An 18,807-nucleotide genomic window follows, 5' to 3' on the forward strand; every position below is an offset into this window, starting at 1 on the left:
TCCCTAAGATCAGTCCCAGGATTGCGAGACTCACAGGACTCAGCACGTGGTCATACGCACACCTAAGACTCACTACAGTGATGGGATACAAAGCAGCATCAGCACAGGGCAACATGCATGGAGCAAACTCCAGGGGAAACCAAGTGCACGCTTCCAGTGGTGCTCCCAGAGGAGTCACATAGGATGCATGTAATTTCTCCAGCATTAAATTGTGACAACAGGTGTGAGGTGCTGTCTACAAGGGAAGCTCATTTGCAACTCAGTGCCCACAGTTTTTGTGGGAGTGGTCACGTAGGCATGCTTTGCCTAGCATGGACCAAAATTCCAGATTCCCAGAAGGAAAGCGCGTGTTCGGCATAAAGCATATTATTTACAGTGTAGAAGCAATGAGCCACTCTTTCATCAGGTGAGGAAATGGTGGGAATACTCCCAAAATCCAAGTTCCTGGATGCCAGCCAAGGGCCAACCTGGCAAGCAGGCCTCCCTAAAGAGGGCAGTCTCAGGCCTGCTAACCCTTTTTTCCACACCTTCCCATTGTTGTTTCAGATGCACTAGTGTTTCAGATCTGCATCCCCACTGCCATCCAACATAAAGAGAGATTCTGTGATGGTGGCTCTAGGTGGCCTTAAGCTCAGTTCTGTTGCTCGATCCAGGAATGGGTGGGTAGGTGGGAGAAAGAGGTAGAATGTCTGTCTTTATTTGAGCACAGAGAGGTGTGATTTATTAGTGCCCTCTACGGTGTCCAGTTAGGTTGAGTTAAAAAAAAATAACATTACTGAAAACATAGTCAGTCCTAAGGGGGAAAACCCCTACCATTATAAACTGTGCAATAACAGATACATGAGATTAAGGCTCATGGAAGCCAAGGGACCATGCTAGCTTCATTTCCTTTAGAGAGCAGCCATCAAATGAGTATTTAATATATCAAAAGTTATTTATTGGAAGATGCAACTAATCATTTCCCAAAAGAGGCTGCTGGTCCATTAGAGGCTGGAAAAGCAGCTTTTGTGGTCCTTTTCAACATTTACTTCTAAAATTTACTTCTAATAACAAAAATCAATATTGGGATATTAACAAATATCTTGGTTTTGATTTTGTATTCAAATAGGGTAGAAAATCTTCATTGTTGTCTGAAACTGGGTTGTCAATTCTTGGCCTACAAATATGATATACCCTACTTATTTATAGCAATCTGCTAGAGTCATGAGATAATTTAGGGAGAGGAAAACAATGTAGGTAGCATTTTTAAAAAACAATCCGCCAACTACATGTAGAAGTGTACAAAAAACATTTCCTACAGCCCTATGGCAAGAACACACTGACCTTCAGACTTAACTAATGGGCTATCATAAATATGTATTACAGAAAGGGAGGTGTGATATACATTTGGCTCCAATGAAAAGTAACAACTACTGTTTACTAAGCACTCACTATGTGCCGGGCACCAAGGGAACAAGCACTTCATATGCATTTACCTCACTTAATTACTCCATCACTCAGTGCACACATGAAGCCCTGAAACCACATTTCAGCTCAAGTCCAGCACGAGGAGAGAACAATGAGCAAATACATGCACCGTCCTTCTGTTTAGTTTCCTGGTTTTAATAAGAGCACCCCTGTTGAGGAGGGACATGGCAAAAGAAAACACATTCCTTCCCCTTCACAAGGGTGAAGCAAGTACAGAAACCCTACAGTCTCTTGTGAATAACACCATTAATCAAGAAGAAATCCTTATTTAAGGGAAAAAAGAAACAATTATAGAGTTAAATAGAAGCCAAAACACATCCATATACATGCATTTCCTCTCCCTTAGGATGAGTCAGAATTCAGTGTCATGAATCGGCCTGTGTCCTAGCATGCATTCTAACACGTGCAATCACGTTCTCCTATAGCATGACCTTCCTGCACCTCTACAAAAGAGTTTCATGCTCACATGTAGCTAGAAAGGAAACAAGAAACACAACTGAGGGTGTACTTTATAAACAGCATTCAGGGAGTTTCCAGGCCTTTGTAAGTAATGCTCTTAGGGTCACAGGTGTTGCATTTGTTTTCTGTGTCTTTAGGGTAAAGCTCTCTGCAAAGGATTTTACTGAGGGTGGTGGGTGGGATTCGAAGGCTCTGGGCAAAATGAAACATGGTGGTCTTTGATCACTCCAAGCCAACTAGGAAGAACACACCTATTTGTAAAAGTCCCTGATCCAAGAACATTACAATTCTCCACAGAAACACAAGCAATACACGGCAGGAGAATGGGGACTCAGGACTTGGGCCTGAGGCACCCACACACATAGCAACAAAGAAAACAGCATGCAAACAGCAGCTGCACTGCCATACAGTGAAGACGGAGGCTGGTTTTTAGATCCCACATTGGAGAGAACAAAGATGTCCCAATTAATCACAAGTTAGTCTAGTGGAAAGTTGGGGCTTATGCACCTTATCAACAAATAAAAAGAAAAAAAACCATAGTAAATGCATATATTTTGGCATATATTTTTCATGTATATAAACCACAGATTGCACAGACTTCCTATGGCCACAGCTGCCAGCTACATTATCCCTTTCTGAAACGGCTTTGAGAAAGAAAATGAAAGAGGTAAAAATATTTCCATCTTATTACCTAGAGAGGGAAAGCGCACGTGCAAGTGAGTAGACTGTTGTCAGGTAATTTTTTGTTTGCCCTAAAGACTATTTTAATACAGATTTCTGGTAAATTTTAAGTCATCTAATACATATTTTATTAAAGTTGATAACAATTATCAAAGTACCAACTTTAAGTTATAATATAGAGAAGTCATAATTTAAAAGGCAGCAAGACAACAAGAGCAATAGTACATCATTGAAGGGAAATTCAGTAAAAGATCACTGTTATTACAAAGCACTGGCCATCAGGAAAAAAGGATTAAGCTCTGGTTCTAACAACCCTGAAATTCTCCCTTCTTGGAAATAAGTGGAGGTAAAACGGAACAGAAAAAAAAAAAAAGTCAAAACAAAATAAGGCCGGGCACAGTGGCTCATGCCTGTAATCCTAACACTTTGGGAGGCCAAGGCGGGTGGATTGCTTGAGGCCAGCAGTTCGAGACCAGCCTGGCCAACATGGTGAAACCCCGTCTCTACTAAAAATACAAAAATTAGCCAGGTGTGATGGTGCAAGCCTGTAATCCCAGTTACTCAGGGGGTGGAGACACAAGAATCACTTGTACTCGGGAGGCAAAGGTGGCAGTGAACCGAGATCATGCCGCTGCACTCTAGCCTGTGTGACAGGGTGAGATTCTATCAAAAAACCCAAACCAAAACAAAATACAATGCAATCCTCTATTATATGAGGCATGGAGTCACAGAGCGGTGCTTCAACACCGAGTCTTTTACTTACTATGATCTGCGTTGACTACCCTGAGCCTCAGTTACCCAGGTGTAAAACAAGATGAGAAATCCCTGATTTTTAGCGTTATTATCAGGATTGAATTAAATGACACAGCAGTACTCGTGAAAGGCCTCACGGAATTCTAGGCATATGGCAGGCACTCCATAAATGGTTGTTCATACAGATAATACATACTTGTGGCCTTAGCATAAACCCAAGGATTAACTGAAATCTTGATCCTACATCTAGAAATATGACTGTACAACTTGATCTACCAAGACGGCAGACAAGATAGTATACAGTAAGTACCATAATAGACTTTTAAGGATAACATTTTTAATTACATCAATATTCATTTTTAATTACTAGAAAAACTATACTTTGATCAATTGAGGCTCTCTTGGTTATAGGTAAAACATGCAGGGATAAGATTCTTTATCATAAATAACAGAATAAATTTTCGGAACATTTTACATGTGAATGCCGCTCACTTGAATCAGTAAGTCTTTTTCAAAAATGATCATTTTATATCCCTCTGTTGATCTCTTTGTTGGGGCTGTGTGTGTAAGAACAAGAATGTGCACGTGTGGAGAAACCAGGCGCTTCCATGTTTTTAATTAAAGTATGGCAGGAATCTGTTTCTGCTTCTCCAGAAGAACAAGTACAGAACTTCCTTCACAGAACAGAGAAGCCACTTGAATGAGGATTTATGCTGTGATAAGAGGCAAATATCTTTAAAATGAAGCAATTGCATAGGTTATTTTGTAAATATTTTATTAATCCTCTAAGAGCCTCCTAAGTGAGGCCTCACAGATACTTAGACTCTTAATCTACTATGAATAAACGTTTCAATCCAGCGCCTGCATTCCAATGATCCAGGACAACGTGGTGGGGGGTGGCGGGGGGAGTTTGTAAGGAGGTTTCGGGTATCACAGGTGCAACTCCCTATCAAGGCACAGAGCCCTGCAACACGCTGCATCACCAGGGACTGCTCGCTCCAGTGATTCAAGGAGGTTACAAAAGTGCAACAGGCCTTGATGTCAGCTACGTGGTTTTACATACCTACTGTGTCAGGGACTCACAACCTTCTTGTGAATTTATTCAAGTATAAGAGTTATTTTGTTTCTAACATCATCTTGCACCTGCCACTGAGCTGGAAGCCTGCTCACTTCTCATGTGCATGCAGTTCACAAATGCTGGTAGTGTTCTCTTTAGTATGAAAGTAAACAAACTCTTGCTTCTGCTTCCTAACAAATAATTTCTTTAATGCCTTTCCTTGATTTCATTCACACACCTCCAGTTGTAGACATACAGTTACAAGATGAATCCAGAGCCGCCTGCCTTTCATCACATGCAGTTCCTATTAACATTTAATGAGTGTCCATTGGCAAGTCTATGGATTGCTTTTTCCTCAGCCACTCTCTCAGAAATCCTCCTGCTGTCTCTGAGCTAACCCAGGATTTCCTCACTCACGTTCTTTACTTTTTTATAACTCAAAACCATCTCCATCCACCAGCCAAAGAAAAAAATTATTAAAGCCAGTTAGAACATGACATGCCGACATCAATTCAATTTGGCTTTATTGTAAGAATTAATAAAGTGATACATCTAAGAACAGCTCAGGAGCCATCTCCTGAGATTCTGCCCCCAACTTTTATATTGAGATAAAGCACCTATGCCTATACCTTCTCTACCTTCTCCAAAGCTTGAATTAAATGTTTGCCTTTAAGTGTAAACTGGTGTAAAGTGGAAACCAAAACCAAATCTTGTAACTCCTGCTGGCAAAATGATTAACACGAAGAGCCAAAAGACAAAGTTTGGAGAAAAGTAAGAGAAAAAAAGCCCTATCTAACACCAGGAAAAAACTCCACATAATGGAAAGTGGCAAAGGCACACACGAAGGGCTTTACTTGTAGGATACTTTATCAAGTTTCTTCCAGCTACATCATACCTCTTCCACAATGGAAATGGCGGGGGAGACAGAACCTATCATCAGTCTGCAACACAGATCCAAAGACCAGATCATTTTCTCCATTCCTGCTTGTTCCTGGTCTTCACATTGTCCTCCTTTGACAAAGAGATGCCCCTCCCTCTTTCTGTTCTTTGTTTTTGTGTATGATGTTCTAGTTATTTAATATTATGTCTCTTTTGTGCTCCAGATCCTGAATGACCCCAGCTGAAGTTTCTTCCCTTCATCCAGGCTTGTTTGATGTCCTAGTTTTATGCCCAAATTTTAGAACTATCCTCTTCCTTCTCCAGAACCGACCATTTCTGGGGAACTGATCATTTCCCCCGCAGCCCACCCATTTCCTTCTTTCCTCACATTACTCCACTGGCCTCTCTCTTTCCATTTTTACTACTGAAAGCAATGTTGTTCTGAAAGGTGTGCAGGGAGACTAGTACACTAAGAGTGTACTGACTGTGTGTGTAACAGGAAACATGGATCATCTCACAGAAAATGAGACAGGAGTTAACTTTCAGGAGATTGAATGAGAGTGAATGACAGCACGTTCTGACAACATTTTGGAAAGTTAACAAAAATGACTATGCTGAAAATTTGCCACTGTGAGCATACAAGTATTAAATTCTTTTTTTTTTTTTTTTTTTTGAGACGGAGTCTCGCTCTGTCGCCCAGGCTGGAGTGCAGTGGCGGGATCTCGGCTCACTGCAAGCTCCGCCTCCCGGGTTCACGCCATTCTCCTGCCTCAGCCTCCCAAGTAGCTGGGACTACAGGCGCCCGCCACTACGCCCGGCTAATTTTTTGTATTTTTAGTAGAGACGGGGTTTCACCGTTTTAGCCAGGATGGTCTCAATCTCCTGACCTCGTGATCCGCCCGCCTCGGCCTCCCAAAGTGCTGGGACTACAGGCGTGAGCCACCGCGCCCGGCCAAATTCTTGACTAATCTATCCAAATGAAGGGTATACTTGATGCTATCTCACCGCACTGACAAAAACAGAATTAAATTTCCATTTGTTGCAAATGACGGTTACATATTAACAATGATAGGAGATTATTTTCTAATTCCTCCTCCAACTACAAAATTCACAACTGAAAAAGACAAAAATAGGGTCAGGCATGGTGGTTCACGTCTGTAATCCCAGCACTTTGGGAGGCCCGGTGGCTCATGTCTGTAATCCCAGCACTTCGGGAGGCCAAGGCAGGCAGATCACTTGAGGTTAGGTGTTTGAGACCACCTGGGCCAACATGGCGAAACCTTGTCTCTACTTAAAATACAAAAATTGGCCAGGCTTGGTGGTGCACACCTGTAATCCCAGCTACTTGAGGCTGAAACAAGAGAATTGCTTGAACCTGGAAGGCAGAGGTTACAGTGAGCCAAGATTGTGCTACCGAACTCCAGCCTAGGAGACAGGGCAAGACCCTGTCTCCAAAAAAAAAAAAAAAAAAAGAAAGAAGACAAATATAAATGATTTAAAATGGGAGGAGCTAGTAGTAGACCCTAATAATAGCTAACAACTCTTTAAGATCCTCAAATAAATAAATAATTGTTAAAAATGTATTTATTCATTTTCTCTCCAGGCTGATGTTCAGACAATCTGCACAGGACTGGCATGGCACACAGGCCAATGTCTGGACATCTGCTCCAAGAGTACAGTGTCTTTGCCATTCAGGTCATTAGGATTAAGATTAAATATTACCCATATTATTTTTTAATATTTAAATACTTAATATTTAAGTATCAAACAAACCTGGAAGAAGGGAAGAAACTTCAGCTGAGGTCATTCAGGATCCGAAGCACAAAAGAGACACAATATTAAATAACTAGCACATCATACATGAAGACAAAGAACAAAGACAGGGAGGGGCATCTCTTTGCAGACTGATAAGATTAAATAATTAATATAAGATTAAATATTTCCTAAACATATCTACTTTCCTTTCTTCTCAGAATATTTTGAAAGAACAGTCTTTAATTTTTGTCTCGGGTTCAAGCAATTCTCATGCCTCAGCCTCCATAGTAGCTGTGACTACAGGTGCCTGCCACCACGCCTGGCTAATTTTTGTATTTTAGCAGAGATGGTAACTATATCATTATATGATGTGATGCAATGGTTTTTTCAAAATTCATCTCCTATCCTTTCTACTTATTAATCCTGAAAAAGTTAAAACTAATCATGTTCTTCTTTCATAAGTCTTCCATCAAGATGGGTGATGTCTGTGACTGAACTATGATCTATATGCTTACACCTAAATAAATTAGGAAGTGATAGCTCCTCCTATGGCCTTTCCAATGCTAACTTAGCCCTCAGGATGATTCAGTGAATTCTAACACACGACTTTTAATCATTTCACTCTCTTGCCCAAAGTTCTGTAATGGCTCCCTGTCTTCCAGAAGAGTAGTCAACAGGCCCATGATCAGTTACAAAATATTAGCACACAGTGCCACTCTGGTATATTTACAGGAGTAAGATTGAAATGTGTTAATAAGGCCAGGCCTGGCGGCTCACGCCTGTAATCCCAACACTTTGAGAGGCTAAGGCAGGTGGATGATCTGAGGTCGGCAGTTCAAGACCAGCCTGGCCAACATGGCAAAACCCCATCTCTACTAAAAATACAAAAATTAGCCAGGTGTGGTGGCAGGCGCCTGTAGTCCCAGCTACTATGGAGGCTTAGGCATGAGAATCGCTTGAACCCAAAAGGCAGAGGTTGCAATGAGCTGAGATTGTGCAACTACACTGTAGCCTGGGCGACAGTGAGACTCCAACTCCAAAAAAAAAAAAAAAAAAGGGTTAATAACCGGTAGGGCCAGGCAACAAGGCAACAATCAATCTGAACAGATGCCAACATGCCATTACTGATTAGAACAAACACCAGCCATAAAAACAATTATTGGGTCACAATTGTATACTGGTTGACTATCACGTTCAAATTACATACACGTACTTACAATACTAATATTTAATGCCTTATAAATATATTACACATATAACATGAATATTATAAGACAAATTATAACAAGATAAGGAAAAAAATCAACAGAAATTCAACACTTTCTTAACATATCTCAATAAACTGCCTAAATTAGCTATCTAAAAAAAGTTCCACTTAGGAGATGACTGGTACAGAGTATGCAATTAAAATGCCTTCTTCTGGTTCTGGCCAGGGCATTCAGGCAGGAGAAGGAAATAAAGGGTATTCAATTAGGAAAAGAGGAAGTCAAATTGTCCCTGTTTGCAGACGACATGACTGTTTATCTAGAAAACCCCATCGTCTCAGCCCAAAATCTCCTTAAGCTGATAAGCAACTTCAGCAAAGTCTCAGGATACAAAATCAATGTACAAAAATCACAAGCATTCTTATACACCAACAACAGACAAACAGAGAGCCAAATCATGAGTGAACTCCCATTCACAATTGCTTCAAAGAGAATAAAATACCTAGGAATCCAACTTACAAGGGATGTGAAGGACCTCTTCAAGGAGAACTACAAACCACTGCTCAAGGAAATAAAAGAGGACACAAACAAATGGAAGAACATTCCATGCTCATGGGTAGGAAGAATCAATATCGTGAAAATGGCCATACTGCCCAAGGTAATTTACAGATTCAATGCCATCCCCATCAAGCTACCAATGACTTTCTTCACAGAATTGGAAAAAACTACTTTAAAGTTCATATGGAACCAAAAAAGAGCCCGCATCGCCAAGTCAATCCTAAGCCAAAAGAACAAAGCTGGAGGCATCACACTACCTGACTTCAAACTATACTACAAGGCTACAGTAACCAAAACAGCATGGTACTGGTACCAAAACAGAGATATAGATCAATGGAACAGAACAGAGCCCTCAGAAATAATGCCGCATATCTACAACTATCTGATCTTTGACAAACCTGAGAAAAACAAGCAATGGGGAAAGGATTCCCTATTTAATAAATGGTGCTGGGAAAACTGGCTAGCCATATGTAGAAAGCTGAAACTGGATCCCTTCCTTATACCTTATACAAAAATCAATTCAAGATGGATTAAAGATTTAAACGTTAGACCTAAAACCATAAAAACCCTAGAAGAAAACCTAGGCATTACCATTCAGGACATAGGCGTGGGCAAGGACTTCATGTCCAAAACACCAAAAGCAATGGCAACAAAAGCCAAAATTGACAAATGGGATCTAATTAAACTAAAGAGCTTCTGCACAGCAAAAGAAACTACCATCAGAGTGAACAGGCAACCTACAACATGGGAGAAAATTTTCGCAACCTACTCATCTGACAAAGGGCTAATATCCAGAATCTACAATGAACTCAAACAAATTTACAAGAAAAAAACAAACAACCCCATCAAAAAGTGGGCGAAGGACATGAACAGACACTTCTCAAAAGAAGACATTTATGCAGCCAAAAAACACATGAAGAAATGCTCATCATCACTGGCCATCAGAGAAATGCAAATCAAAACCACTATGAGATATCATCTCACACCAGTTAGAATGGCAATCATTAAAAAGTCAGGAAACAACAGGTGCTGGAGAGGATGTGGAGAAATAGGAACACTTTTACACTGTTGGTGGGACTGTAAACTAGTTCAACCATTGTGGAAGTCAGTGTGGCGATTCCTCAGGGATCTAGAACTAGAAATACCATTTGACCCAGCCATCCCATTACTGGGTATATACCCAAAGGACTATAAATCATGCTGCTATAGAGACACAGGCACACGTATGTTTATTGCGGCACTATTCACAATAGCAAAGACTTGGAACCAACCCAAATGTCCAACAATGATAGACTGGATTAAGAAAATGTGGCACATATACACCATGGAATACTATGCAGCCATAAAAAATGATGAGTTCATGTCCTTTGTAGGGACATGGATGAAATTGGAAACCATCATTCTCAGTAAACTATCGCAAGAACAAAAAACCAAACACCGCATATTCTCACTCATAGGTGGGAACTGAACAATGAGATCACATGGACACAGGAAGGGGAATATCACACTCTGGGGACTGTGGTGGGGTCGTGGGAGGGGGGAGGGATAGCATTGGGAGATATACCTAATGCTAGATGACACGTTAGTGGGTGCAGCGCACCAGCATGGCACATGTATACATATGTAACTAACCTGCACAATGTGCACATGTACCCTAAAACTTAGAGTATAATAAAAAAAAAAAATTAAAAAAAAAAAAATGCCATCTTCTGGATAACAAGGTCTCTCATGATCTGGTGCCTGACCAGGTTCTTATGCTTCAGAAATACTGATGCACAAAATCCTGGAACATGCTATCACTTCTTCCAATTCTATCCTTGAGTGGATGCTGTTCTGTTACTGTGTTCCTGAAAAACTCCTAATCTCATTTCTTTCTTTCTCTTTTTTTTTTTTTTTTTTTGAGACAGGTTCTCACCTGTCACCCAGGCTGGAGTGCAGTGGCACCAACATGGCTCACTGCAGCCTTGACCTCCTGGGCTCAAGTGATTTTCCTGCCTCGACCCTCCAAAGTGCTAGGATTATAGGCATGAGCCACCATGCCTGGCCCTACACTCATTTCTTGAGCATCACTTTGAATGCTACCTACCTCTTTTGCAAAGTCTTCCTTGACTGCCCAAGACACACTTAGAGACTCCTTTCGCTACTAGAGTTACAATAACAATAGCTAATATGTTTTGAACATTTGTTTTCCACCAAGTATTCTGCTAGGTATTTTATATGCAGTATCTTTATTTTTTTTTATTTTTTATTTTTTTGAGATGGAGTCTCGCTCTGTCACCAGGCTGGAGTACAGAGGCATGATCTCGGCTCACTGCAACCTCTGCCTCCCAGGTTCAAGCAACTCTCCCGCCTCAGCCTCCCGAATAGCTGGGACTACAGGCGTGCACCACCACGCCTGGCTACTTTTTGTATTTTTAGTAGAGACGAGGTTTCACCACGTTGGCCAGAATGGTCTTGATCTCTTGACCTCATGATCCCACCTCGGCCTCCCAAAGTGCTGGGATTACAGGTGTGAGCCACCACACCCGGACTATATGCAGTATCTTGAATAATTTCCCCAACAACCACCAGAAGGTAGGTACTATTATCATCTCCAAGCTGAGGTTTAAGAGGCTTAAAAGTGTTATTCAAGGTGACACAGCTAACAGAAGGCAGAGGAGGTATCTAGGCCCAAATGTGACACTGAGGTGCATACTCATATACCTCTAGTTGTCCATATCCCCAATAATACAAATATCACATAGCATTGCAATTGTCAGTTTGCATGACAACAGGGATAGTAACTTTTCACTCTTATATTCACAGAAAACTAATGAAAATGTTTGCTGAATGAATATATCTAGTTAAAATCTTGGATTTTAAAAATTAATTATGAGCTTTTCAGCTTATGTGCTATGGAACATTATACTTTATACCTGTGTGTGCTTTTTATATTTTAAACACTGCTAACAAACTAGGTACTGTATATGACTAAATTTTAGTTTATAAGGAGTAAAACTTGCTTTCACCTACAGCAATAAGCAGCTCAGAAAAAGTGAACATGCTCTCAAACAGTACTAATGATTTGATATGGTTTGGCTCTGTCCCCACCAAAATCTCAACTTGAGTAGTATCTCCCAGAATTCCCACATGTTGTAGGAAGGACCCGGGGGAGGTAACTGAATCATGGGGGCTGGTCTTTCCCATGCTGTTCTCGAGATAGTGATGAAGCCTCACGAGATTTGATGGGTTTTTCAGGGGTTTCTGCTTTTGCTTCTTCCTCATTTTTTCTCTTGCTGTCACTATGTAAGCAGTGGCTTTCGCCTCTCACCATGATTCTGAGGCCTCCTTAGCCATGGGGAACTGTAAGTCCAATTAAACCTCTTTTTGTTCCTAGTCTCTGGTATGTCTTTATCAGCAACATGAAAACAAACTAATACAGTAAATTGGTACCAGTAGAGTGGGGCGTTGCTGAAAAGACACCCGAAAATGTGAAAGCGACTTAGGAACTGGGTAACAGGCAGAGGCTGGAACAGTTTGGAGGGCTCAACAGACAGGAAAATGTGGAAGTTTGGAACTTCCTAGAGATGTGTTGAATGGCTTTGCCCAAAATGCTGATAGCAATATGGACAATAAAATTCAGATGACGTGGTCTCAGATGAAGATGAGGAACTTGAAGGGAACTGGAGCAAAGGTGACTTTTGTTATGTTTTAGCAAAGAGACTGGCAGCATTTTGCCCCTGCTCTAGAGATCTGTGGAACTTTGAACTTGAGAGAGATGATTTAGGGTTATCTGGCAGAAGAAATTTCTAAGCAGCAAAGCACTCAACACTTGCATGCTGCTAATGGCATTCTTTTTTTTTTTTTTTTTTTTTTTGAGATGGAGTCCCGCTCTGTTGCCCAGGCTGGAGTGCAGTGGCATGATCTTGGCTCACTGCAAGCTCTGCCTCCCGGGTTCATGCCATTCTCCTGCCTCAGCCTCCTGAGTAGCTGGGACTACAGGCGCCCACCACCACGCCCAGCTAATTTTTTATATTTTTAGTATAGATGGGGTTTCATCATGTTAGCCAGGATGGTCTCAATCTCCTGACCTCATGATCCGCCCACCTCGGCCTCCGAAAGTGCTTGGATTACAGGCATGAGCCACCATGCCCAGCCGGCATTCAGTTTTATAAGGGAAGCAGAGCACAAAAGTTTAAAAAATTTGCAGGCTGACTATGTGATAGAAAAGAAAACCCCATTTTCTGGGGAGAACTTCAAGCCAGATGCAGAAATTTGCATAAGCAGCAAGGAGCCTAATGTTAATCCCCAAGAACATGGGGAAAATGTCTCCATGCCATGTCAGAGAACTTCCTGTCAGCCCCTCCCATCACAGGCCCAGAGGCCCAGAAGGCAAAGGTGGTTTCATGGGCTGAGCCCAGGGTCCCCATGCTGTGTGCAGCCTAGGAACTTGGTGCCCTGTATCCCAGCCGCTCTAGCTGTGGCTGAAAGGGGCCAACATACAGCTTGGGCTGTGGCTTCAGAGGGTGGAAGCCCCAAGCCTTAGCAGCTTCTACATGGCGTTCTGTGCGCAGATGCACAGAAGTCAAGAATCGAAGTTTCGGAACCTCCGCCTAGATTTCAGAAGATGTATGGAAACACCTGGATGCCCTGGCAAAAGTTTGCTGCAGGGGCGGGGCCCTCATGGAGAACCTCTGCTGCAGCAGTGCAAAAGGGAAACATAGGGAAGGAGACCCCACACAGAGTCCCTGCTAGGGCACTGCTTCGTGGAGCTGTGAGAAGAGGGCCACCGACCTTTAGACCCGAGAATGGTAAATCCACCGACAACTTGTACTATGCACCTGGAAAAGACACAGACACTCAATGCCAGCCCATGAAAGCAGCTGGGAGGGAGGTTGTCCCCTGCAAAGCCACAAGGGCGGAGCTGCCCAAGACCATGGGAACCCACCTCTTACATCAGCGTGATGTGGATGTGAGACCTGGAGTCAAAGGAGATCATTTTGCAGCTTTAAAATTTGACTGCCCTGCTGGATTTCAGACTTGCATGAACCCTGTAACCCCTCTGTTTTGGCCAATTTCTCCCATTTGGAATGGCTGTATTTACCCAATACCTATACCTCCATTGTATCTGGGAAGTAACTAGCTTGCTTTTGATTTTTTTTTTTTTTTTTTTAAGATAGAGTCTCACTCTGTTGCCCAGGCTGGAGTGCAGTGGCACGATCTTGGCTCACTGCAACCCCCGCCTCCCGGATTCAAGCGATTCTCCTGACTCAGCCTCCCAAGTAGCTGGGACTACAGGCATGCACCACCATGCCCAGCTGATTTTTGTAGTTTTAGTAGAGACAGGGTTTCACTATGTTGGCCAGGCTGGTCTCAAACTCCTGACCTCGTGATCCGCCCGCCTTGGCCACCCAAAGTGCCAGGATTACAGGCGTGAGCCACTGCACCCAGCTGCTTGCTTTTGATTTTACAGGCCTGTAGGCGGAAGGGACTTTAGCCTTGTCTCAGATGAGACTTTGGACTGTGGACTTTTGGGTTAATGCTGAAATGAGTTAAGACTTTGGGGGACTGCTGGGAAGGCATGACTGGTTTTGAAATGTGAGGACATAAGATTTGGAGGGGCCAGGTGCAGAATGATATGGTTTGGCTGTGTCCCCACCAAAATCTCAACTTGAGCTGTATCTCCCAGAATTCCCACATGTTGTAGGAGGCACCGAGGGGGAGGTAACTGAATCATGGGGGCGGGTCTTTGCCGTGCTATTCTTGCAATAGTGAATAAGTCTCACAAGATCTGATGGGTTTATCAGGGCTTTCTGCTTTTGCTTCTTCCTCATTTTTTCTCTTGCCTCTGCCATGTAAGAAGTGCCTTTCACCTTCCACCATGATTCTGAGGCCTTCCCAGTCATGTGGAACTGTAAGTCCAATTAAACCTCTTTTTGTTCCCAGTTTCAGTTATGTCTTTATCAACAGCATGAAAACGAACTAATACATGATTTTCTTAAGATCTGTAAGGATATATTCCAAAGGCCTCACAAGCACTATATTGTCCTGTAGTAACACAAAGGGAAAGGAGTCTGGACAGTACAGGTATATAACCTCACTGCTTTCTCATCTTACTTCTCCTTCCCCTCTCACTTCCTAGGAGAAAGAGGGGAGAAAGGGTCAGTGTGAGACAGAGTTGCAGGGGTAAATAGAAAAGCTGGTAGTAAGCTTACATGAGGTGCTGCCCTGCATTTGTCAGTGAGAATGATGGAAATTAGGAAAAACTGAGATCTAAGCCTTCAAAACATGTTCTGGTAGCTTTACCTTCACCTAGGTTCTTATATATACCTACTCTCCTCTACAGGCTGTGCACTCTTTTAGGATAAAAATTCAGAAGAGGTCACATGGCTTAGTTACCTTCCAACTCCTTCCAGACTGGCTCGCCTATTCACTCAGTCCTAAACCAGCCTCTTAGCCTTCAAACATAGTGAAACTTCTAAAATCCAAGAATGGTCCACTTCTTATAATCCTTCTTCTTTTTACATCTCTTAGAGGCAAGTGCTGCTTTATGGAACTTTAGAAATGCCAAGAGATGCACCAGAAAATTCAGCCATTGGAGGCTCAATGAATAGTAAATGAAAGGTTAATGTTGGAAGTTATGAGAAACAGCTACTTAATGAAAGGGGTGAAATATAAAAAATTAAGTTTTAGTTATGTTGATATGGATTTGTGGATCGTGCCAACAGGCATCAGAAGTCAGTGGACATTTGAAAATGTGTAACTGGTACAGAAGGAAGGTGGAAGCATGGGAAATGGACATGGGTCATCCACAGAGAGGCAGCAGCTGTATGTGGATACTATGGCAGAGTCCCAAGGCACATCTAGACAGACAGGAGACAACAGTGGAAAAGGACACACATCTGGGAGACTACTTTGGAGCTAAGCATGATACAAGAAGAGCAAATCAGGTGGCTCTTACTTCTTTCCCTATTGAGGTGTTCCTAGTGTGTGGGCAGACAAAATGGCACTTGTCACAGTGGAACCTTACATCTCTGCAGAAGAGAAGAAACTATTTTAATTAGCATTATACAGTGGAATGCCATGGACGAAGAGTCAGAAGAATTCAGATTCTTTAACAACCGACCATCCTTCAAATTTCTCATCTTCAGAAGGGGATCCTACTTTTTTCCCTTGTGGGGTTCTAACAAGAAACAAACCGGAAAGTGCTCTGTAAAGGTAAGACTGCTATACAGGGATATGAGGTAGCACTTATGAATTCCTTTAAGAAACTAAAGTTAACTTTTCTGAATTAAAAGGCTAAGAGGAAGTATATTTTAAAATATAAAAATAAAAGTGTTGATCCCAGCTCCACCACTGTCAAAGCAACCTTAGACAGTCACCTCACCTCTCCATGTTCCAATTTAAAGTATTCAAATTCCATTCCTGACTATCTCATGAAGATACGATGATGGGACCGGGCGTGGTGGCTCATGCGTAATCCCAGCACTTTGGGAGGCTGAGGCAGGTGGATCACCTGAGGTTAGGAGTTCGAGACCAGCCTGACCAATATGGTGAAACTCTGTCTCTACTAAAATTACAAAAATTAGCCGGGTGTGGTGGTGTACTCCTGTAGTCCCAGCTACTTGGGAGGCTGAGGCAGGAGAATCACTCGAACCCAGGAGGCGGAGGTTGCAGTGAGCCGAGATTGTGCCACTGCACTCCAGCCTGGGCAACACAGCGAGACTCTGTCTCAAAAATAAATAAATAAGAAATAAAAAATTTAAAAAAGATACGATGATGATTAAGTACTTAAAAGTGTTTTCAGATCCACTGGGCAATGTCTTACCACTCAGGGGGCAGTCATGTGATATTATAGCTTGTCTAAATAACTTTTCAAGCTGTGTGATGTTTCTCCAAATTCTCTGGGTCTTTGATACCAAAGATAAACAAAGACACCCAATCTTGACTGATGTAGCATTTGCTTTAAAGTTCTGAGAGAACTGTAATTTTTAACTGCACTAACAGAATGCACAGTGATCAGCTGTAAAAATTAAGTCACTTATCCTTGCATACTGAATAAAAGTTAGGATTATACATCCTAATTGAAAAGAATATCTCCCAGGAAAAAATAAATTAACTCCACATACAAATCACTATATGTTGTTTTTTAAAAATTATTTCATGAAACAGCAGAAAGAAGAACACTTGGGAACATTAGATGTGAAAATAGGCAAGAGACAATGAGGACCTGAATGAAGGGAGAAAAGTGTTCAAGGGCTATTTAGAAGGCTGAGGCAATGGTATTTACTTAGATGGCTGAGGCAGCACCATTTTTCTTTCTTTTGTTTTGTAATTGAATAGAGGAGGTGACAAAGAGGAGAGCATGGGAGATGAACCCTCAATATTGCACCCTGGATGTCCTCCAGGTATGTGCTGGTGGGGAGAAGGTTTGATGAGAAAGATGAGTCAAGTTATTAATACACATACTGAGAATAAAGTATCTCTGCAACACTTTGTTTTGAAAATTGCCTTACTGACTCCTAGTTTATCTTCATATAGTGTAATAGAAAAACGCAAAGTGTTTTAATTGCACTTGAAGCTTTCGTTGAAAAAAAATCAAATTGGTAGAATGTTTAACTACTCAGAGAATATCCCAAAACTGAGTTATTTGTAGAAGGAATATTCACATACCATAGTAATTCTAATCTCCCAGTCATTAAAAAAACCCATGATGAACACCACATGGTGGGCTCATCTTGGGAGCTCTCTATCAAAAGGTACTGAAAATGGCATTAAAGCAAAAGAACTTCAATCAGACTTCTGTGTTCCAGCTTCAACACAGAAAGAACTACATAGACCTGGACAGCTGGAAATGCCATGCCATATGAGATTGCAGCAAAGGAGGGAAATATTAAAAGGCTTTTCCACACTCTAGGTACAACACTATTCAGAAAGTAGGTCTGACTTTACACCATGGTGAACTCCAGGAAGGCTTTACTCTCGTGAAAATAGCAGAGAATCTATTAAATTCATGAAGATAAGGACACTGGGTTAGATTTTTCCAAGCCATAATGTTAGCAGGGGTTAATGTGCCTATATAATAGATGATCTTACTGTACATATAACATAGCCTTGTGAACACATCTGTGTTCACCTGTACACATTATATATACTTGCCTCTTACCCTAAACATGGCTATGTTTTTTAAAACAATGTCAAAAGTTATTTTAGAAACTCACACTATGTTGCTATGGTGCATGCTGCTGCAAAGAAAAAGCTAATGGGCTCTCTACTTAATGTGATTACAGCCATTATTGACATAATGCCAGGAAGACGCAAAACCATTAGCATTACGCTACAGCTCACTTAAGCATCCACTCAGATTCGGTATTTGATCCACAATTTTAATTTTGTTCTGCTCTATTCAGAGCTGCATTACACAAAATGCATAATTAAAAGCTGCTGTGATTCTCTCTACTTCTCAAATTAAAAACATAGCAAACATTTGTAGTTCTAATCCACTAGAAATTAATAAATCAAACAGTGTCTTTTATCCCCTTTCCTCCATACAATTCAGATTGCAGGTTGGGAATACTTTTGCCTGCAACAGAGTATGCTACAGAAGGAGCAGCTGCTCAAAGAAAAGTCTCCAAACTGCCTACTGTAAAGGCAAGTGAGAACCTAGAGGGCCTAGCAGCACCGATAGCCTTACAATTCCAAGCTTTAAGCTGGAAGGGTTTTCTGGAAAGAAAAATTTTAATCAATTCACCATAAATCCTTTTGATGCATTTTCCTTCATTAGCTCACTTTGTCAAGCATACACATGCTCCTAATTTAATTTAATCAAATGCACCATGTCTTTCTGTCAACAGTGAAGCAATTCCCGTGTCCAAAAGATCTCCTATCAACTCCCTACCCAGGACAGCCTAGAGGGGAAACTGATGAGAACGAGGAGTTTTGCTTTATCCACCATTAAAACTGAAAGGGTTTCCCCCTAAAGATCTGCCATCAAGAGCTGAGCCACTGACGCCA

General features: G+C 41.7%; 1 protein-coding gene across 40 annotated transcripts in view, besides 1 other annotated feature; it reads right to left on the minus strand.

The window, feature by feature from the left end:
* BNC2 (basonuclin zinc finger protein 2) overlaps window positions 1-18,807 on the minus strand; it is a 461,168-nt gene that overhangs the window by 47,843 nt on the left and 394,518 nt on the right. The gene's annotated exons all lie outside the window — the stretch shown is intronic.
* Window positions 2,481-2,560: an enhancer, noted in NCBI's record as "active region_28216". NCBI's record gives its function as "activates an Ori minimal core promoter by ATAC-STARR-seq in GM12878 lymphoblastoid cells {active_cell/tissue: GM12878}" and the evidence as "EXISTENCE:reporter gene assay evidence [ECO:0000049][PMID:35858748]".

Source organism: Homo sapiens, chromosome 9, assembly GCF_000001405.40.
Source record: "Homo sapiens chromosome 9, GRCh38.p14 Primary Assembly".
Taxonomy (NCBI): domain Eukaryota; kingdom Metazoa; phylum Chordata; class Mammalia; order Primates; family Hominidae; genus Homo; species Homo sapiens.